General features: G+C 38.2%; 1 protein-coding gene across 9 annotated transcripts in view, besides 2 other annotated features; it reads right to left on the bottom strand.

The window, feature by feature from the left end:
- Window positions 643-692: an enhancer, noted in NCBI's record as "active region_28787". NCBI's record gives its function as "activates an Ori minimal core promoter by ATAC-STARR-seq in GM12878 lymphoblastoid cells {active_cell/tissue: GM12878}" and the evidence as "EXISTENCE:reporter gene assay evidence [ECO:0000049][PMID:35858748]".
- MUSK (muscle associated receptor tyrosine kinase) overlaps window positions 2857-23449 on the bottom strand; it is a 137768-nt gene continuing 117175 nt past the window's right edge. For all 9 annotated transcript variants that reach the window (XM_005251994.4, XM_005251995.4, XM_017014734.2 and 6 more), the window contains 2 exons: window positions 21577-21725; window positions 2857-9109 (listed from right to left, as the gene is read on the bottom strand). In XM_005251994.4, the coding sequence (XP_005252051.1) occupies window positions 8427-9109; window positions 21577-21725 (832 nt within the window). In that variant the 3' untranslated portion in view covers window positions 2857-8426. The remainder of the gene's footprint in view (window positions 9110-21576; window positions 21726-23449) is intronic.
- Window positions 18027-18599: an enhancer, noted in NCBI's record as "H3K27ac-H3K4me1 hESC enhancer chr9:113553096-113553668 (GRCh37/hg19 assembly coordinates)". NCBI's record gives its function as "activates a minimal SCP1, AML or CMV promoter by ChIP-STARR-seq in primed H9 embryonic stem cells {active_cell/tissue: H9 hESC(primed)}" and the evidence as "EXISTENCE:reporter gene assay evidence [ECO:0000049][PMID:30033119]".

The raw sequence follows: 23449 nt of genomic DNA, 5'->3' as shown, positions 1-23449 counted from the left end.
CTTTGTTCTTAGAAATGAAATTTATTTGTGGTTTTTTGCTCTCTCAGTGTCACTCCTCTGTAAGTCTTTCTCTCATCTTTGATCAGTTTATTTTTTCTTACCTGTCACTTCTGAGGGTACTCTGGGAATGGGCTAAAATTAGGGCAGCTGCTTTTTTAGGTTGCCATAAACAAAGCAACTGAGTGATGTCAGGCAGAATGATGCTGAGAGTCTCCTGAGAAGGTGATCTGAGTCAGAAAGTGACTTAAACGAGTGAAGAGAAGATAAATACATAATACTAATGGACTGTCTTAAGATTCTTAAATATAATGCATCCAAATAATTTTAAAAATCAAGATAGCAGAAGAAGAGGTGACTTTAAATTATGTTTCATCCATACTTGAGTAAAGCATCAATTGAAATAAGAAGGAGCATCACACTAACCACCACGGTGTCAACATGGCTAAAAAAGAAAGTCAGAAAGCAGTGTCATGCCAACACTTCTAATTTTAATCACAGCTCTAAATGGTCAAGAACACACCCAGAAAATGATAGTGTGTATCTAAGTCTGGGTTTTTTTGTGGTTAACATCTCTCTGACGTAACCTTAGATACTACAGGTGGTTTCTCTTCTTATGGGCAAAATGCTATATACGGTGTGTACTTTCCAGAGACTGTGGTTTGAAAGAGCAATGCTGGCCAGTTGCATAATTACAGGTCTGACGATGAAGGTTGTAAGAAAAACTAACCCTGTTGAATCTCTTAGAAGTTTTTAATTAAGAGGGATTCTGTAAAGAAGACATGTAACGGCTTACAGGTAAAGGCTTACCTTGATTTTGCTTCATTCAGAGGACATGACCTCTTAGAAGGCAAGGTAAACATCTAGACACACATAAATCTTTGTTTGTAATGATAAGAAATGTACTGGCAAATATATCAGACCCCCACACCTATGGGTCTTTCCTGTTGATGTAGTTTCTGACCTTCCAATATGTAATGACTCAGTACTGAAGGCCAAGTGCGAGTGGTGAGTGGTTTCTCTGGTGATCTATACCAAAATAAGGGCTTATAAGTGTTCTATCTTGGTGGCTGTGCTACTGAAATAGATCTGAAACAAGTAAAAGAATAGTTACCTGAAATACACTTGCTATAAAGCTTTGACTCCACTCTAACCGGGATACCTCTTCACAATAAAGAACACTATGGTTAAAATGATGGAATGAGCACCATATCGAGTTCTCCTCTCCCAGATTCTCATGGAGTGACACATAGACCACGCAGAAAAGGAAACAGTCAATCGTGCTGCAAATCAGGAATGGGTAACAGATAAATGCAACCCATTTGCAGCTGGGGAATTTCTGCCAGCTGTAATGGGAATGGGCAAGGGTATTGAGAGCTATTAAAATGGATACAATCTACCCTCTTTAGAATGAGTACGTAAGTCAGCAGCACTAGGACACTGCAAGTGTGTATTTGCACTGGAGAGGCTCTGAGACTCCTCCTCGGTATCAAGGCAACACCAAGCTCCATAGCAGTTTTCAGCTTTGCTCCTAGATCAAGCAGAAAGCCTAGTCCTGAGGAGGAGAATCTAAAGCTATCATCTATAACACACAGTTAGAAATGTGAGTGTAAAGTTGGGGAGAGAGGTTTGAACTAAAAATAAAAAAATCTCAGCATACAGATGGCATTTATAGCCTTGCAACCAGAAGAGATCACTAGGGATGAATACAGATAAAAGGGAGATGTCATCCAAGGATTGAGGTGTGGGCTGTTCCAACATTAAGAAACAGGAAAAGAAGGAAAAAAGAAATCTGGAGGCAAACAAGACGAAGGAGTGAACCGATAACTCCTAAACTATTTCAACTATTCCAGAGAGGACTCTTGATGAACATGGTAGTAAGAGGCTTTTCTTTTCCCCTCAAGATTTCCCCAATATGACAGTAAATGTATATGAATAAGAATCAATCTATGTACATGCTGAAACCAATCCAAGTGCCATCACTTTGACAAATATTCAAAAAGCGGAAAGTATCTTAGTGTTCTTATCCATGGGTAAGACAAGGCACAGGAAAAACTAAATTGCAGCTTTTGCAATACACACAAGCCAAGCGTGAGGGGAGGGGAGATGTGATTTCACATGTATAAAGTCTCCATGCTCTGAGTCAGCAAATACAGAGACAGGGGTGGGCTGTGGGTTGTCAATCAGGATGGTCGACTAGAAGATTGTGTATAGAGCAGGTGGGCCAAGAGGCCTCATGTCTATCCCTGTAAACTGCTATCTGAATAGATCAATTTGCCTGAGAGGTCGTTGGTGTGGGTTTGAAGGGTCCTAGGTGTGAGGCAATACAGAAAATGGGGAGAATATCATACTCTTTTGGGTAATGGAAGCAGTGAAAGAATAGCAAGTAGCTCTCCCTGGGAGTGAAATACGTCAAAATATTGTATCTCAGAGTACAGTCTTCCATCACTTTGGAACTGTGGGGATTCTGACTCAGGCTGCCTATACTTCCCTATGAGCCACATAATCAGAGCCCAGAGGTAGCCATCCCACGGAAAAGAGGTCACACTGGGTGAATATACCAACAAAACAGCAAAGGGACCCCACTTCTACTACCAATACGAACCAGAGCAACTCTTCATTTGTAATTATGTATGGTGAATAAAAAAAATCATCAAAATAATTTTCGGAAAAAAGGGCACGAAAGAAGAGAGGCAGAAGAAAAAGGAAAAATAAATATCAGGAAGAGAAGCGAATGTAAAAGTTTTGTGATTTTTAAAAATATTTCTTCCATAAAATAGAGGAAATAAGAATTAATGTATATTAAATTTATCTTATCAAATTAAAATAATGGAATACCATTATTTGGCAATGCATAAATACATGATCACATAATTGCAGATATTTTATTTTTGTTTTTTGATGTTTAGAATCAATCTAGTCAAAGCACCTAAATCTTAATTTGTTCCAGAACAAAATGCAAATATTACAGATTCATAGAAATGAACATATAGTTGACAGCGTAGAAATAGGTGTATAGTTGACTGATTGTGAGAGTAGAGAGCAGGGAGAAGTGATGGAGGGAAATTTGGAAGCTCTAATTTTATGTAGCACAATCCAGAATCAGTAGGTAACCTTTATTTAGAAATATTTGTGAAAGTTGTGATAAACAATATAACATTAGAAGTTAACATATCTCAGGAAAAAGAAAGGGAGTTTGAGTCAGAGTGCTGCATATTTTTAAAAAATTGATCAATTCAGAAAGAGAAATGCAAACCTATTTGTTAGAATTGCACTGGTAATCACCAGAAGAACTAACACTATAAATGGGTGAAGTGGTTAGCACTTAGGCTGGGACTAGAGATGAAAAGGAAGAAGGGAACTTTTATTATTTTTTTAATTTTTACCCTCTTGTGAGTTTTTTTAAACAACATTTTTATGTATTACTTTCATAAATAACAATTATTTAAAAATAAACTAACCAAGATTATAGAGAAAAACTCCTGAGTTTTTCCTAATACAATGCTAATACAAATGCTAATGCCAATACAAAACTCTAACAGAGATGAAAATGATAAACTTTTAATTTTATGAACTTAATATTGATGCAAATATATGTAAATTAATTTGGTAGTTAAGTAGAAGATTGATATGATTCGCCCAAAAAGTTTATTCCTAGAAGACAAGGATATCGCTACATTAGGAAATAAATTCATACAATTGAACATATTAACAAATCCATTAGGGAAAAAAGCCACAATCATCTGAATGGACGGAAAAGTCAACATTCTTTTCTGATTGATAAAACCTACAATAAAAGACAAATAGAAGTCTATATTTTTAACATGATAAAAGTAGTTGAAACATATATCACAAAATTTAACTCCTTAATATATAAAGTGCTCTTACAAAGCAACAAGAAAAAGATATACCCAGTAGAAAAATAATAGTAGGAGGCAAATCACCAATCAAGTATCCTCAAAACATTAAACAATGTTCAATTTTATTAGTATTTAAAGAAGTGTAAATATAAGCTATGAAATAACTTTAAGCTATTAGCTATTATATTGGCAATGATTAAAATGCTATACTCAGTATTGGTGAGACTGAAATAAATGGGCTGTCTTATCTGACTAGGAGAGGTACATGTTAATAAAATAATTCAGGAAGGTAATTTTTTAATATATTTAAAAAGTATTAAAAGTGCATTTATCCTTTAATCTAGAAATTTCACTTCTAGGAGTTATAGCTAAAGAAATCACTTAAGATAAATGCTTACAAAATTTAGCAACAGGATGATCCAAACATTACATTTTATAATGGAAAAATAGAAATAAACCAAATGTCTAACAGTAGAATAGTTATGTCAATTACGATAAATCTGTATAATACTATTCAACCATCAAAATTAATGTTGCACATGAATACTTGTTCATGTAGAAGATGTTTAAGATATATTAAGTGATAAAAGCAAGGCTTGAAGTAATGTAGCAGTATGATCTTATTTTTGTTTAAATTATCTATCTATCTCTCTCTATGTATCATCTATCTATCTATTTACCTACCAACCTACTTACCTACCTGTCTATCTGAAAAAGCCTGGAAGAATATTATGATGTTAATGTTAATTACCTCTGGTTGGTGTTTTTTCATTTTTATTATTGTCTATTATGATTATACATATTATTGTATATTATTGCATATTATTTTTCTTTTCAAACATAATATATTACTTTTATAAGAAAATAAGTAAATGTTATTTTAAGGTAAAGTAAGTAGATGTGATCTCTTGTGTAAAGTATGAAAAAGGCTTAATAGGCTTTTTACAAGATAAATCCCATAATTCGATTAGAAAATGAACACAGCAGAAAAATGGGCTGTAGACAATTGCCAAAATAAAAACTGTTAATGACCTAGGAACAAGAAACATTCAACCTGACTAGTAATTTAAAAAATAAAATTAAAAAGAGGTTCTCTTTTTCTATAACCAAAGAGACAAAAGATTTCTAAAAAACAGAAAATTATCTATGAAAGCAAATGTTTAGGGCTATGAGATCTCTTGTACAATGTAGAAGTGGCAGTAATATTTCTGCAGAATATGAAACCACATAACAGAAGTGTTAATATTGTACATGCCATTTGGTCCAGACATTTCCTTTCTCTGAATTTTCATAAAAAGAAATGTGGACATGAACAAATAAGGATGTTAATTACAGCATTTTTTATAATGATAAAAATTGGAAAAAACCTAAATGTTCAAAAATACAAGATTGATTAGCTAAATTACAGTATATGAATAAAATAGAATATTATTCCAAAATTGGGTTTTTAGAAGAATATTTAATGACGTGGAACAGGTTCGTAATATACTGTAAAATGAAAAGAAAGTGTTCTTTTTCTGCTCTACCACGATAGCAGAGAATATGTTTTTGGGTGTCATGTGAAAAATACTCTGGTATCTTACCATGTTTGGTATTTGATCACTAAAAATGACTGCTGGTGCCTTACTGATATCTGTCCTGGCACTTGGTAACAGTGACACTGTGAGTGTCTCTCTTTTGTCTACCTTTTTGAATGTATATGATGATTCTACCATGAAAAAAAATCTTATTTAAAAAAGTAAACAATATTGGTGAATAATGCATCTATACTCCTGTGATTCAGAACATTAGATCGAGCACTTAGGGAATAAGTCAGTGATCTTAACTTGAAAATGTAATTAGAACTCATGAAAAAATAAACATGTCACCTATTAGATGTTATGATTAACTTAAATTGATAATGCTGAAATATACTTTTTTTGCTATTCATTAAAAAGACTTAGGAAGTTAATAGAATAAAATATAGATATAGAGTGTGCTTGAAACGACATGCAAATTACAAATCACTTCCACAGAGTTACTGAGGTTCAGTTATTGCTTCTATCATGTACAGAGGCTCTACAGTATAGTGGTTGAGAATTCGGCCTCTTTTGGTCAAAAAGTAGGCTCTGTTGCTGTGTGCACTCGGGCCAGTTGCACAATCTCTCTGTGACTGTTGGAGGCTGAGCTTGCAGTGAGCCAAGATCGTGCCACTGCACTCCAGCCTGGGCGACAGAGCGAGACTCCGTCTCAAAAACAAAACAAAACAAAGCAAAACTAAAATGTATATAATGATAGTACCAACATTACAGGGATGTTGTGAGGTTTAAGTTCATATATTTAAAGGCCTCAGAATACACATGGTAAGATTTCAATAAATGCTAGCTGATATTATAATTTTTATGATTACTGTTACTCTATTTTCTGTCAGCCTGACTTCTATGTCTGTCTTTTACAACAAAACTTTATCAGCGGAGAAAGCCCGAAGCTGTCTTTGAATTTTGCAGAGCATACATGAACCATCTAAAATAAGCCATGGATATCTATGCTCAAGTTCTAGACTTGCTGGTGGCCCTCTCCAACTTTTCTGCTTTGTTGGCATCTTGACTTTCTGCTTTAGACACACGCTGCAACTTTATTCTTTATTCAGTCATTTGGATTACAGTATCAATTTTGGACTTAGACTCATGATTTTTATCTGAAGCACTTCTTTAGGTCTCAGTCCTAAATGCTGACCTCGCTATTTATGAACCAGAACTGTGACTAAGGACCGCCTTACTGTCGTTGTATCCTACAGAATCTGTTCAGGTCTGAAATGAGAGGAAGGCCAGCTAATAGACAGGGTGGGCAACGGTAGAGGTTGAGTCATTGGCTCTTGGGTTGAAGGGAAGAGGATGTCAGCAGGAGGATTTTAGGAAGTAAAACTAATAGAAAACTGATGATGAAAGAGAGGGCAAAGTCTAGGAAAATTTCTACATTTTTGTCTTGGTTGCCTGGAGACACTATGAATAAGAAATGGCAGGTTTCCCACCAAAGATGTCAAGCTGTTACATGAGGCAGATTTGGGGATTTCAGGCAGAGTTTTCCAGCAGACAGCGAAAATCTACTTTCAAGAATTCACACCATTCCTCCAATGCCCTAACTACCAATTAGTCTGAATTAAGATAAGCTGGTATAGAGTAGACTGTTATTTTCTCTTCCCTGTTCGTTTTCAGGAGAATTTGGGTTCCTGCTATATCAGAAATAAACTCAGATCATGTATGGACTTAGATAAAGATGTATTGTGTGAGGATCCACTGAGAAAAAATCTGAACCCCCAGGAATCTGAGTTCCAGAGCTGCTGCTTTTTTTTTTAAATCATGAAATACAACAAAATCAGTTAATATGTCATGCACAAAGTTGTTAAGCAGAACGATATTAATTCTACAGCCAACTGAATTTGTTTCTAAAAGGAATAAAATGTCAGAATGCACAGAAATATCAGTTTTGAAATAACTCAGAGCCACAAGTGTATCTTGTGAAATCTCATATTATAAATTATGGTTTAAGAGATTTAAATAGACTCTAGTAATAATATTAATAGGTGAGAATGTTGAAATGTGTGGCTTCAAAGGCAAATGCAGGAAAAATAGTAATACTTTGCAAAAGGCATATACATATCAATCTACAATGGTATTTAAAATGTTATTATTTCTGCCAGAGTGTTTATTACATGAATGAAATAAAAGAAAAAAATAGCTTAATAACTAAAAAAGGACAGAAGTCCTGGAAAGAAGAAGAAATAAAGATTAAAGCAATGGAAAAGATACCAATACAATTTTTAAAGGAAAAGGTAAATCAGTAAGATACAAAAACTTGTTTCAAGAAAACTGGAGGAATAAAATAAGCAGACTTAATTCATGACAAATGCACAGAAAGGAAAAAAGGAGGGGCACAGGACAGAAAAGGGAACTCAGAGTTACAGGCTTGCTGATTTGCTGTTTCATTCCTTAGAAACCCTCTATCAATAAAATGTAACCACAACTCTGCAGAATACAAACAAATATAAAATTATGCATTAAATGCAAGAAAGATTTAATAAAACACTAAGACTCGTCTTTGGGGGGAGACAGAATGAGTGGCTTTTCCTTCTTTTTAGTTTTCTGTACTTCACCTAAGTGTCTTACATGACGATTAAGCTACTTTCACAATGGACAGGAATTAACTCAATTAAAAAATGAAGCTCTGAATCCCATTTCATATTAAAATTTAATACAGCAGAGCTTTACTCTGTGACCAGCTACTTTGGAAACTGAACAGGATGACATTCTTCCCTGTGCAGTGTGTATTACAAACCTTCATGAAGAAGAATAGTTGTCTCCATTATCTGACACATTTCCTAGCCTGTGTTTCCAATCACTGGCTTTCAATGGGTCCGTCTACCACATGGGTTTTGCACTGTCTTTGCTCTCCCTGGGAAGCAAACAACACACTACTCATGTTTACTCTTACTCTTTCCTATGTGGGTCTTGTTGGGCCTCTGGTGTAGGATTCCCCTGGCTCACAGAGTCTGAGAGGAAACTGCAGCATTTTATTTGAACGTCTTCAACCTTAGACACTCACAGTTCCCTCTGCCCTCTCACACATGCGTTCCAGAATTCGGTGAATACTGGTGAAACTGGGTCTGTCTGCAGGCAGCTTGCTCCAACATAGACGCATGAGATTGTACAGCTCCACGGGGCAGTTCTCAGGGCAGGAGAGGATGTTGCCATCTCGCACGTAGTAAATGACCTCCTCATGGGCCATCCCATAGTAGGGCTGCAGGCCATAGGAGAAGATCTCCCAGAGGACCACGCCATAGGCCCACACATCAGACTCTGTAGTGTAGCGGTTATAAAAAATGGACTCTGGTGGCATCCAACGGATAGGGATAGCGTCGTTTTCATTAGCTTTGTAGTAGTCTGCTGAGTAGATGTTCCTGGAGAGGCCAAAGTCGGCAATTTTCACCACCATGTTCTCGCCCACCAGGCAGTTCCTGGTGGCTAAATCTCGGTGAACAAACTTACGTTCTGAGAGGTAAGCCATGCCAGCTGCCACCTGCCTGGCAATGCAAAGCTGCTCAGCACAGGAGAGGGGTGGGGGCCCAGGGCTGGAGACCTGAGCCCTCATAGACAAGTCACTGTGACTGAGGCTGCACACGGTGTGAGGGGACATGCTGCGGAGGAACTCATTGAGGTCACCATAGGCCATGTATTCAAAGAGCAGGCACATTGGCTTCCCGACAGCACACACTCCTGGAACCAAAAGACCATCCCTGTTAGTCTCAGTTTCTACAATGAAACAATGGAAAGAGCACTCCAAAAGCAAACGACCATGTCAGAACATATGAAGCCCTGTTTTTTGTTGTTGTTGTCGTATGTTTGTTTTTTAATATTTGTATCCTTTTAATCACAACACAAAAGGAGTCTCAGCTAGGAAATGCACTCTGGGTAGTGGGGTTTCTGTCCCTTGGCTAAAGTTTTTGAGGACTTCCAGCAGAGCGCTGTTGTCCTGGGCACTTGTCATAAGTACATCGTACATGGTGCATCAAGTTCATGGTGCATATAAGTACATGGTGTATCAGTTCTCTGGAGTGGCTCTTCTCTCTGAAATCTGGAGGCCCTGGTTTTTTGTTGACAACACCATGGTTGAACCCTGACCCTATTTCTCTGCCTAAACATCTCCTCTTTGCCTTTAAGATTCAGTTTATCACTCTCCCTAGGGTGCCTCAGCTCCTGATCCTTCCAGTAACTGTTAGATTTTCCTACTGTCATCCTTTCACAGAGAACCTACCATCCTATTTTATAATCATTTGACTATTTGAGGTTTCTCCCCAACGTTTTAGCACTTTGAAAGGAGAGATTGAACCTTATTCTTCTTTAAAAATTCCCCACACCTACCACGTGTCTGGCAGAGCAGATGCCTCATAATGTTTGGTGAGTTAATTTATGAATGGATGCTTGCTCTGAGTATGTAATGTAATTGCTGTCTGTTTCTGTTTACTTCTATGAAGGATGTTAATAAGAAAGATGTATCAAGTTTGGAAACAATAACAAATACAATTCAAGTGTCTTAGATGAAGTATTTAAGTTGCTGCAGTAAAACATTTTGAAATTTAGGTTTTACAATGTTCATGCTACCAAAAAAGTTAATATAAATAAAGTCTTAGATTTAAAGCCAGAAGATCATTTTCAAATCTTAAAGTCTTGATATATTTGAGAGGGAAACTGGAGAACTTGGAATATTAGATAAGATGGGCATAATTTCACATCATCTTAAAAATAGATTATTAGATCTATTGGGTTTTTTCAGGCAAAAGTTAAAAGTATCTGTTTGAAAAAGAGGAGAAATGAGGAATACTGCTATCTTGGCTTATTTATTTTGGCATTAATTTTTAATTCCAAGGACCTCAATTAGCACATTTCTGTAAACTAAAGGGAAAAAATAAAGAAATACCAACTGGATAATACTTAGAAGTTTCTTCTGTGGGATCCTTTTTGGATAATCTTTAGTTAACAGGGACTTACCTATCTCATCAACTGGCTTTACCATTGTTATGCTGGTTGAGTTGATTTAAAAATAATTTCTTATACTGGAAAAAAATGACAAAATATTTCTCTGAGAAATAAAGTTTTGAACTAAATTGATTTAATGAAATTTTCCACTCTGATAAAGAAAATACTATACAAAAGATTTCTACTTTGTGATTATTATGAACAATTATATATACATGTGTATAGATATAATTTACAATTATATATGTATATACATTTATTTAAGACCTCAAAATGTTTTCTATATTGTAATTACTCCAACCCAACTCTTAGGTGGGACTTCAAAATATAATAATTATTGAGAGGAAGACTGTATTTTATTCATCCTTGTAACCTCAGGTCTAATACTACACATGGCTCACTATGGGTTTTCAATATATGTTGATGGGTGGATGGATGAATTAATGCATAGGTGGATGCATGGATAGATTTAAGGATGGATGCATAGATGGATGGGCATAAGAAAACCTCATGCCTAGCCCAAGCCATGTCTTTAAACTTTAGCATGACATCTTCAATGAATAATCTCACCTGATTGTTCTACTGTTTGCTCCACTGCCAGAATATTCCGTAAGAGTCTATAATATTCAATGCCTACTCCCATTCTAAAATTCTGCATATTTCTTTAGTTATACCATTTTTCCCAATTTATGACTACAAAACCATTATCCACTAGGATTTCAATAAAAGGGAAACAATTTTTAAGATACGAACATGTTCAATAAGTGGCTGATGTATCAAATATATAAAACAAAGTAGATTTCTTTTATTGATAGAAGTGAATTTTATGGATTTTCCCAATTCCCCTTTCTTCCACTATTGTCATCTTATTTCACTGGGATTAACTTACAAGAAACTATGAGAGTAGTGGAATCACTTGCATGAATGATTACTGCTTATGTATACTTGATAAAAAATAGAACCTGTGTTCATTGGATATCCAAATGGAATTTAGATATAGCATTTAACAAACGGCAACATAAGTTTCAGTTCTTGTTGGACAATAAAAATGAGAGAAAACTCCAAGTAGTGATGTATAAGCATGCTACTGTGGTTAAATTGGAAAACTGTACATAGTTTCTGTTTGAATCAATTTCAGGAATTCAGGATGTTATAAACTGTATACGAATACAGAGTCAACATTTTAAGAAAAGTTGAAACAGGAATTGCTTGATAATCTTGAAAATATGCATGTATGTATGTTTGTTTAATGACTAAATGTATACTATTTGAGAAAGTAAATAAGGAGGGTAGGGGGCAGAAGCCAGATTCAGATTTTTGTGTGATGAAGAATGAATAAATGAATGTTTAGGAGTTGAGGAAATGGAAGAAGTGTTTTCAAGATGAATTGTTATGTACTTAATATCGTTTATTCATTTATTGAACAAATATTTATAGAGTGCCTACAATGTGCCAGAAACTATTCGAGATACTACTATAGAAATTCTTGCTTTTAATATTTATCTAGATTCCTTCCAATATCCTGACCACTAAATTACTTTACTTCCTTTCCTTAGACCTCTGCCCAACTTCAGCTAATCACTCACATTGTCATACCCCTGACTTTGTCATTCCATACATTTGTATACCTCCCATAATCTCATTTTCAGTTACTCTACCTGTTGTTCATCACTTCCTCCCTTTTTCACCCTAGTTCACTGCCTCGACTGCCCTAACTCTAAAAATCCTTTGACCCCACTGAAACTTTTTTTTTGTTTGTTTGTTTTTTATTTGTGAATTATTTATTTTTCCTATGCATTACAATGAAGTCAGTGTAATTCCTAAAAGTATTACTTGTTTGCATGCTGAAATGCCTTCTTTTTTTTTTTTTTTTTTTTTTTTTTGGGTATTCATGCATTTATTTTTTATTTTTTATTTTTTTATTTTTTTGTTATACTCTAAGTTTTAGGGTACATGTGCACATTGTGCAGGTTAGTTACATATGTATACATGTGCCATGCTGGTGCGCTGCACCCACTAACGTGTCATCTAGCATTAGGTATATCTCCCAATGCTATCCCTCCCCCCTCCCCTGACCCCACCACAGTCCCCAGAGTGTGATATTCCCCTTCCTGTGTCCATGTGATCTCATTGTTCAATTCCCACCTATGAGTGAGAATATGCGGTGTTTGGTTTTTTGTTCTTGCGATAGTTTACTGAGAATGATGGTTTCCAATTTCATCCATGTCCCTACAAAGGACATGAACTCATCATTTTTTATGGCTGCATAGTATTCCATGGTGTATATGTGCCACATTTTCTTAATCCAGTCTATCATTGTTGGACATTTGGGTTGGTTCCAAGTCTTTGCTATTGTGAATAGTGCCGCAATAAACATACGTGTGCATGTGTCTTTATAGCAGCATGATTTATAGTCCTTTGGGTATATACCCAGTAATGGGATGGCTGGGTCAAATGGTATTTCTAGTTCTAGATCCCTGAGGAATCGCCACACTGACTTCCACAATGGTTGAACTAGTTTACAGTCCCACCAACAGTGTAAAAGTGTTCCTATTTCTCCGCATCCTCTCCAGCACCTGTTGTTTCCTGACTTTTTAATGATTGCCATTCTAACTGGTGTGAGATGATATCTCATAGTGGTTTTGATTTGCATTTCTCTGATGGCCAGTGATGATGAGCATTTCTTCATGTGTTTTTTGGCTGCATAAATGTCTTCTTTTGAGAAGTGTCTGTTCATGTCCTTCGCCCACTTTTTGATGGGGTTGTTTGTTTTTTTCTTGTAAATTTGTTTGAGTTCATTGTAGATTCTGGATATTAGCCCTTTGTCAGATGAGTAGGTTGCGAAAATTTTCTCCCATTTTGTAGGTTGCCTGTTCACTCTGATGGTAGTTTCTTTTGCTGTGCAGAAGCTCTTGAGTTTAATTAGATCCCATTTGTCAATTTTGGCTTTTGTTGCCATTGCTTTTGGTGTTTTGGACATGAAGTCCTTGCCCACGCCTATGTCCTGAATGGTAATGCCTAGGTTTTCTTCTAGGGTTTTTATGGTTTTAGGTCTAACGTTTAAATCTTTAATCCATCTTGAATTGATTTTTGTATAAGGTGTAAGGAAGGGATCCAGTTTCAGCTTTCTACATATGGCTAGCCAGTTTTCCCAGCACCATTTATTAAATAGGGAATCCTTTCCCCATTGCTTGTTTTTCTCAGGTTTGTCAAAGATCAGATAGTTGTAGATATGCGGCATTATTTCTGAGGGCTCTGTTCTCTTCCATTGATCTATATCTCTGTTTTGGTACCAGTACCATGCTGTTTTGGTTACTGTAGCCTTGTAGTATAGTTTGAAGTCAGGTAGTGTGATGCCTCCAGCTTTGTTCTTTTGGCTTAGGATTGACTTGGCGATGCGGGCTCTTTTTTGGTTCCATATGAACTTTAAAGTAGTTTTTTCCAATTCTGTGAAGAAAGTCATTGGTAGCTTGATGGGGATGGCATTGAATCTGTAAATTACCTTGGGCAGTATGGCCATTTTCACGATATTGATTCTTCCTACCCATGAGCATGGAATGTTCTTCCATTTGTTTGTGTCCTCTTTTATTTCCTTGAGCAGTGGTTTGTAGTTCTCCTTGAAGAGGTCCTTCACATCCCTTGTAAGTTGGATTCCTAGGTATTTTATTCTCTTTGAAGCAATTGTGAATGGAAGTTCACTCATGATTTGGCTCTCTGTTTGTCTGTTGTTGGTGTATAAGAATGCTTGTGATTTTTGTACATTGATTTTGTATCCTGAGACTTTGCTGAAGTTGCTTATCAGCTTAAGGAGATTTTGGGCTGAGACGATGGGGTTTTCTAGATAAACAATCATGTCGTCTGCAAACAGGGACAATTTGACTTCCTCTTTTCCTAATTGAATACCCTTTATTTCCTTCTCCTGCCTGATTGCCCTGGCCAGAACTTCCAACACTATGTTGAATAGGAGCGGTGAGAGAGGGCATCCCTGTCTTGTGCCAATTTTCAAAGGGAATGCTTCCAGTTTTTGCCCATTCAGTATGATATTGGCTGTGGGTTTGTCATAGATAGCTCTTATTATTTTGAAATACGTCCCATCAATACCTAATTTATTGAGAGTTTTTAGCATGAAGGGTTGTTGAATTTTGTCAAAGGCTTTTTCTGCATCTATTGAGATAATCATGTGGTTTTTGTCTTTGGCTCTGTTTATATGCTGGATTACATTTATTGATTTGCGTATATTGAACCAGCCTTGCATCCCAGGGATGAAGCCCACTTGATCATGGTGGATAAGCTTTTTGATGTGCTGCTGGATTCGGTTTGCCAGTATTTTATTGAGGATTTTTGCATCAATGTTCATCAAGGATATTGGTCTAAAATTCTCTTTTTTGGTTGTGTCTCTGCCCGGCTTTGGTATCAGAATGATGCTGGCCTCATAAAATGAGTTAGGGAGGATTCCCTCTTTTTCTATTGATTGGAATAGTTTCAGAAGGAATGGTACCAGTTCCTCCTTGTACCTCTGGTAGAATTCAGCTGTGAATCCATCTGGTCCTGGACTCTTTTTGGTTGGTAAACTATTGATTATTGCCACAATTTCAGAGCCTGTTATTGGTCTATTCAGAGATTCAACTTCTTCCTGGTTTAGTCTTGGGAGAGTGTATGTGTCGAGGAATGTATCCATTTCTTCTAGATTTTCTAGTTTATTTGCGTAGAGGTGTTTGTAGTATTCTCTGATGGTAGTTTGTATTTCTGTGGGATCGGTGGTGATATCCCCTTTATCATTTTTTATTGTGTCTATTTGATTCTTCTCTCTTTTTTTCTTTATTAGTCTTGCTAGCGGTCTATCAATTTTGTTGATCCTTTCAAAAAACCAGCTCCTGGATTCATTGATTTTTTGAAGGGTTTTTTGTGTCTCTATTTCCTTCAGTTCTGCTCTGATTTTAGTTATTTCTTGCCTTCTGCTAGCTTTTGAATGTGTTTGCTCTTGCTTTTCTAGTTCTTTTAATTGTGATGTTAGGGTGTCAATTTTGGATCTTTCCTGCTTTCTCTTGTAGGCATTTAGTGCTATAAATTTCCCTCTACACACTGCTTTGAATGCGTCCCAGAGATTCTGGTATGTGGTGTCTTTGTTCTCGTTGGTTTCAAAGAACATCTTTATTTCTGCCTTCATTTCGTTCTATACCCAGTAGTCATTCAGGAGCAGGTTGTTCAGTTTCCATGTAGTTGAGTGGCTTTGAGTGAGATTCTTAATCCTGAGTTCTAGTTTGATTGCACTGTGGTCTGAGAGATAGTTTGTTATAATTTCTGTTCTTTTACATTTGCTGAGGAGAGCTTTACTTCCAACTATGTGGTCAATTTTGGAATAGGTGTGGTGTGGTGCTGAAAAAAATGTATATTCTGTTGATTTGGGGTGGAGAGTTCTGTAGATGTCTATTAGGTCTGCTTGGTGCAGAGCTGAGTTCAATTCCTGGGTATCCTTGTTGACTTTCTGTCTTGTTGATCTGTCTAATGTTGACAGTGGGGTGTTAAAGTCTCCCATTATTAATGTGTGGGAGTCTAAGTCTCTTTGTAGGTCACTCAGGACTTGCTTTATGAATCTGGGTGCTCCTGTATTGGGTGCATAAATATTTAGGATAGTTAGCTCCTCTTGTTGAATTGATCCCTTTACCATTATGTAATGGCCTTCTTTGTCTCTTTTGATCTTTGTTGGTTTAAAGTCTGTTTTATCAGAGACTAGGATTGCAACCCCTGCCTTTTTTTGTTTTCCATTGGCTTGGTAGATCTTCCTCCATCCTTTTATTTTGAGCCTATGTGTGTCTCTGCACATGAGATGGGTTTCCTGAATACAGCACACTGATGGGTCTTGACTCTTTATCCAACTTGCCAGTCTGTGTCTTTTAATTGCAGAATTTAGTCCATTTATATTTAAAGTTAATATTGTTATGTGTGAATTTGATCCTGTCATTATGATGTTAGCTGGTGATTTTGCTCATTAGTTGATGCAGTTTCTTCCTAGTCTCGATGGTCTTTACATTTTGGCATGATTTTGCAGCGGCTGGTACCGGTTGTTCCTTTCCATGTTTAGTGCTTCCTTCAGGAGCTCTTTTAGGGCAGGCCTGGTGGTGACAAAATCTCTCAGCATTTGCTTGTCTATAAAGTATTTTATTTCTCCTTCACTTATGAAGCTTAGTTTGGCTGGATATGAAATTCTGGGTTGAAAATTCTTTTCTTTAAGAATGTTGAATATTGGCCCCCACTCTCTTCTGGCTTGTAGGGTTTCTGCCGAGAGATCCGCTGTTAGTCTGATGGGCTTTCCTTTGAGGGTAACCCGACCTTTCTCTCTGGCTGCCCTTAACATTTTTTCCTTCATTTCAACTTTGGTGAATCTGACAATTATGTGTCTTGGAGTTGCTCTTCTCGAGGAGTATCTTTGTGGCATTCTCTGTATTTCCTGAATCTGAACGTTGGCCTGCCTTGCTAGATTGGGGAAGTTCTCCTGGATAATATCCTGCAGAGTGTTTTCCAACTTGGTTCCATTCTCCACATCACTTTCAGGTACACCAATCAGACGTAGATTTGGTCTTTTCACATAGTCCCATATTTCTTGGAGGCTTTGCTCATTTCTTTTTATTCTTTTTTCTCTAAACTTCCCTTCTCGCTTCATTTCATTCATTTCATCTTCCATTGCTGATACCCTTTCTTCCAGTTGATCGCATCGGCTCCTGAGGCTTCTGCATTCTTCACGTAGTTCTCGAGCCTTGGTTTTCAGCTCCATCAGCTCCTTTAAGCACTTCTCTGTATTGGTTATTCTAGTTATACATTCTTCTAAATTTTTTTCAAAGTTTTCAACTTCTTTGCCTTTGGTTTGAATGTCCTCCCGTAGCTCAGAGTAATTTGATCGTCTGAAGCCTTCTTCTCTCAGCTCGTCAAAATCATTCTCCATCCAGCTTTGTTCTGTTGCTGGTGAGGAACTGCGTTCCTTTGGAGGAGGAGAGGCGCTCTGCGTTTTAGAGTTTCCAGTTTTTCTGTTCTGTTTTTTCCCCATCTTTGTGGTTTTATCTACTTTTGGTCTTTGATGATGGTGATGTACAGATGGGTTTTCGGTGTAGATGTCCTTTCTGGTTGTTAGTTTTCCTTCTAACAGACAGGACCCTCAGCTGCAGGTCTGTTGGAATACCCTGCTGTGTGAGGTGTCAGTGTGCCCCTGCTGGGGGGTGCCTCCCAGTTAGGCTGCTCGGGGGTCAGGGGTCAGGGACCCACTTGAGGAGGCAGTCTGCCCGTTCTCAGATCTCCAGCTGCGTGCTGGGAGAACCACTGCTCTCTTCAAAGCTGTCAGACAGGGACACTTAAGTCTGCAGAGGTTACTGCTGTCTTTTTGTTTGTCTGTGCCCTGCCCCCAGAGGTGGAGCCTACAGAGGCAGGCAGGCCTCCTTGAGCTGTGGTGGGCTCCACCCAGTTCGAGCTTCCTGGCTGCTTTGTTTACCTAAGCAAGCCTGGGCAATGGCGGGCGCCCCTCCCCCAGCCCCGTTGCCGCCTTGCAGTTTGGTCTCAGACTGCTGTGCTAGCAATCAGCGAGATTCCGTGGGCGTAGGACCCTCCGAGCCAGGTGTGGGATATAGTCTCGTGGTGCGCCGTTTCTTAAGCCGGTCTGAAAAGCGCAATATTCGGGTGGGAGTGACCCGATTTTCCAGGTGCGTCCGTCACCCCTTTCTTTGACTCAGAAAGGGAACTCCCTGACCCCTTGCGCTTCCCAGGTGAGGCAATGCCTCGCCCTGCTTCGGCTCGCGCACGGTGCGCACACACACTGGCCTGCGCCCACTGTCTGGCACTCCCTAGTGAGATGAACCCGGTACCTCAGATGGAAATGCAGAAATCACCCGTCTTCTGCGTCGCTCACGCTGGGAGCTGTAGACCGGAGCTGTTCCTATTCGGCCATCTTGGCTCCTCCCCCTGAAACTTTTAATCTATTGATCCTACCCCCTTTTAATGATCCCTACTTTCTTCACGTTTTGTCTTCCTTCCTTAAACAGCTTAAGTTCCTTGATCAATCATAATAATCACTCCTTTGCATACACCTCTCTTATTTGCCTCAATTTGACTTCAACTTACTTGTGTGGCAAAATGCTAATTCTGGTAAAATTTAACTCCTCTTAACGAGTCTATGCCCAGCTGGCAGCATTTGGATAAATACACAACCATGCTGACCAGTCTCATGTTAAATGTGTAATCTCTAATTTCAAGTAAGCTTTTAATGTTCTTGCCAATCATATTATGTTTCTCTAGTCCATTTTATATTTTATGTAAAAATGGATTTTCTTAGATGACAATTTATTTCTTCTCTTTCCTCAAATCTTCAACTCTTCTCCCATTCCTCACCCTCAGATGAGATCTTGATTCCTACCTCACAGAGAAAACTAAATCAATCAGAAGAGACTGGCTACAATCTCCAGCCAATTCTCTCTTATTACTATGGTTGATCTGAGCATTCTCTTTACAAAGGCCAATCCATCCAACAGTGCCAAGATTCCATTCCCTCTCACTGTTCAAAGATGTTACTTCCACTATTTGCCAACCCTGTCATCAATTTTTCTCTTTACGGGATCATTCTCATTAATTTACAAATGTGCTATTACTTCCACATGAAAGGAAGCATGCTTCTTTCTGCCCCCTTCAGCTCTATCCATGTTCCTTGGTTCACCTTTATGGCAAAACAAGTTGTTTATACTTTTTCTCCAGATTTTCTCTTCCTCTTCTTTTGAGCTCACTTACATTTCCTCTGCCCCCAACATTCCTAAGAAACCTCTCTTCTCGGGGTTACCAGTGAACATCCATGTTTACAAATTCAAGGTCACTTTATAGTCCTCCTCTCACTTGACTTAATGCATATGACATGCTCACTTTCACCTATTTAAAATACTTCATTTGACATCCAGGACACCACACTCTCTTGATTTACTTCTATTTCATTGGTTGCTCGTTTTTAGTTTGTTTTTCTTGTTCATCTCCTCTTTCTCACACTAAATACTGGAATGCTCCAGGCCTTGGTCCTTGGACCTCTTCTCTGTTCTGGCTTGCTTTCTCCATACTTAGGTGTCTTACTCAACCTCATGGCTTTAAATACTCTGTGTACTGCAATAGCCTTGGATTCATGTCTAACCAGATCATCCTTACCAGAACTCTAGGCCTCCATATCCACATGCATCCTTAACTTCATGTGGATCATGTGGATGTTGAATAAGCATCGCCAAAAAACACGTCTTTTTTTTTTCCCAGATGGAGTCTCACTCTGTCACACAGGCTGGAGTGCAATGGCACAATCTCGGCTCACTGCAACCTCCGCCTCCCAGGTTCAAGCAATTCTCCTGCTTCAGCCTCTCAAGCAGCTGGGATTACAAGCGTGTGCCACCACACCCGGCTAATTTTTGTATTTTTAGTAGAGATGGGGTTTCACCATGTTGGCCAGGCTAGTCTCGAATTCCTGACCTCAGGTGATCTGCTCGCCTCGGCCTCACAAAGTGTTGAAATTACAGGCGTGAGCCACAGTGCCTGGACAAAAACCACATCTTTAAATGAATTCCCACTCTCTCCACTAAAGGAACCTGTTCCTTCTGAGTATTCCTCAACTCAGCCAATGGCACCTCCATTCACTCATCTGCACAGCCAAATACTTCGATACTATCTTTGACTTTTCCCTTTTTTGCACATCTCATATTTGGTCTGTCAGCAAATTATTTGGCTCTACTTTCACATTACACATGGAAGAGAATCACTTCTCACGATCTTCACTACCACCACCTGGCCCATGCCATCATCTTCTCTTGCTGCATCATTGCAATACCTGTTTACTGTCTTCCTGATTTCATTGCTTCCCTTCATGCAATGCTCAAGAAAGCAGCCAGAGAAGATCTGAAAAAATGTGAGTTGTGTCATGTCATGTCTTGGCTGAAACTCTCCATTTGTTTCCCAACTTAGATTAAAAGCCAATGTTTTTAATAAGGCCTGACAGGACCTGCCTACCTCCCCCATTACCTCTCTGATCTCATCTTTGATAACTCTCCCCATCTTTCACTCTGCTCCAGCCACATTCATCTCCTTGCTATTCCTCAAGCATGCCACATCTGCTCTTGCCACAGTACCTTTGCAAATGCTTCTCATTCTTTTTGGAATGTTCTTTCCCAAGATATCCACACTGTTATTCCCTTGCCTCTGCCAGGTCTTTATATAAATGTAATATTTTCACTGAAGTCTTCAAACTTTGTAGCTCACATTCCAACTTCTCTGCTTTAACACTTTAAAAAGTCTGTAGAACTTAATATCCAGCATCCCATATTTTTGTTTTTTTTTTATTATCTGTCTCCTCATATAGAGTGAATGTATGCTCTATGAGAGCACAGATTTTTTTTTTCTTCCTTTTTTAAAGATGGAATCTCACTCTGTCACCCAGGCTGTGGTGCAGTGGTGCAATCTTGGCTTACTGCAACCTCTGCCCCCCCGGTGTAAGCGATTCTCATGCCTCAGCCTCCCGAGTAGCTAGGATTACAGGCCCACACCACCACACCCAGCTAATTTTTCTATTTTTAGTAGAGATGGGATTTCACCTTGTTCGCCAGGCTGGTGTCAAACTCCTGACCTCAAGTGATCTGCCTGCCTCGGCCTCCTAAAGTGCTGAGATTATAGGCATGAGCCACTGCTCCCAGCCGAGAGCACAGATTTTTGAAAAGTTTTATTAATTGCTGTGTAATTAATACAAACTAAATATTTGTAAAATTTGTGTTGAATTTATGAATCTGGGAATAAACTGGAACTCAACAATGAACAGAAAAGATACAAATCGCTGCTCATGACATTCTAGTTAGGGAAGAAAGAGGAGAAACAAAATAAGTAAAATATATAGACTTTTCAATATTGATAAATTTTGTGATGGAGAAGCAGTATTAATTTTTTACAATGGGGACATTTTAAACATTTTTATAAATAGGAGGCAGCAAAGACAGAGACAAATTGAAGTGATGAATTTAAAGAGGGATAATCCATTAAGCCATGAATGTCCTATAGGGTTGGGATAGACCAAGGTGAAGAAGCTAAATTTGAAAAGGAACTGAAACGTCTCACTGATCAAGGAGAAAAGGAAAAAGCACGAACAAGGGGAGAAAAACTTGGAAAGCCTCTGTTTTCTGATGAAATACATATCCTCACTTGTATTTTCATACCTAATAGCTTCACAATGTTAGGGTTGTCAAATTCTGCCATGAGGGCTGCCTCCCTCTGAAAGTCCGCTTGCATATCTGCCGAGGCTTCTTCTTTGAGCATCTTTACTGCCACCATAGTGAAAGGTTCATAGGGAAGTAAGCCTGGTGCCCTGAGAGATACATTTATTGAAAAAGAAACCAAAGATCATGGACATCATATCTTTATACCTACCCACATTTATACATATCCTCCCACCTCCCCTGTGTAAAAGGCTGGTTAAGTCTCACGCAGCCTTTCCCAGAGCCACAGAATCAAAGAAAGACAACATACTTAAAACTCCTTGATGTCAACTAATAAAAATCACTGGTGTTATTTTCAACAATTTCAAACAATGAAGTTTGAAAGATGCATTATTTACAAATTATAGGAATTCTGAAGTATACACCCCCAATAGGATTATCATTGCCATCCTAACCTTTTTTTTTTTTTTTTTTTTTGAGACAGAGTCTCACTCTGTCATCCAGGCTGGAGTGCAGTGGCATGATCTAGGCTCACTGCAAGCTCCACATACTGGGTTCACACCATTCTCCTGCCTCAGCCTCCTGAGTAGCTGGGTCTACAGGCACCCGCCACCACACCTGGCTAATTTTTTGTATTTTTAGTAGAGACAGGGTTTCACTGTGTTAGCCAGGATGGTCTCAATCTCCTGACCTCGTGATATGACCACCTCGGCCTCCCAAACTGCGGGGATTACAGGTGTGAGCCATCGCGCCCAGCCACATCCTAACCTTTTAATCTTTGTCCAGAATCTAAATTCCATGACGTAGGAACTATGGCTTACTCATCTTTGTACCCTCCATTGAGCCTAAAGTGGTGCCTTGCAAATTTTGGTTTCCAAGACATGTTTGTGTGAGATTTTCACTATTCATGTAACCTCTACGCCAGGGCCACCATGGGTGGAGATTAAGTTGTGTCTTGCCCAAGAGCACCAGGCCGAAGTGCCAGTTGGAGATTAAAACCAAATTCATATTCTCTGGCTCAGCTGTGTGTCTGTGGAGCCATATCCATGCAGCAGAAAGGGTATTTTATTCCAATTCGCACAAAGGTGATACATAGGCTAATATTGGCCCTAATACATACTCCTTTCTTGAGCTCATTTTTTATAAATTTTTGCCTTTTTATTCCTTTTCTGTTTGTCATTTCATGAACATCTACTTAATATCTATACATTATATTATAATGTAAGGAGTTATTTAAAACAATGTAAGAAATTATGATTAAAAATATATGGTAAATTCTTTCCTGAAAAGGAAATATTATTGAACTATATTACTAATTTCTTATAATTTAAAAATCGTAGAAGTGAAGACACATTTACATCTCCAATAAATTACCTATTTTAAGTGCAGTAAAATATATTATCTCCATATAGGCTACTGTTTTCCAGCAAAGAGGGGAAATTAAGATTTGAAGTGTATTATGCAATACAAATAAGGTTAATGATGTAAAGAATTAACTAGTTTTTCTTTTCTTTTTTTTTTTTTTTTTGAGACAGAGTCTTGCTCTGTCACCCAGGCTGGAGTGCAGTGGCGCGATCTTGGCTCACTGCAACCTCTGTCTTCCGGCTTCAAGCAATTCTTCTGCCTCAGACTCCCGAGTAGCTAGGACTACAGTTGTGCACCACCATGCCTGGCTCAATTTTGTATTTTTAGTAGAGACGGGGTTTCGCCATGTTGGCCAGGCTGGTCTTGAATTCCTGACTAAGGTGATCCTCCCGCCTCAGCCTCCCAAAGTGCTGGGATTACAGGCACGAGCCACCGCACCTGGCCAGAATTAACTAACTTGATAAAAACTATTTTATATAGTATATTATTACCATATAATACATATATA

Source organism: Homo sapiens, chromosome 9 (assembly GCF_000001405.40).
Source record: "Homo sapiens chromosome 9, GRCh38.p14 Primary Assembly".
NCBI classification, from domain to species: domain Eukaryota; kingdom Metazoa; phylum Chordata; class Mammalia; order Primates; family Hominidae; genus Homo; species Homo sapiens.
Note: the sequence above shows the minus strand (reverse complement) of the source record. Positions and strands in the feature narration are given on the sequence as shown.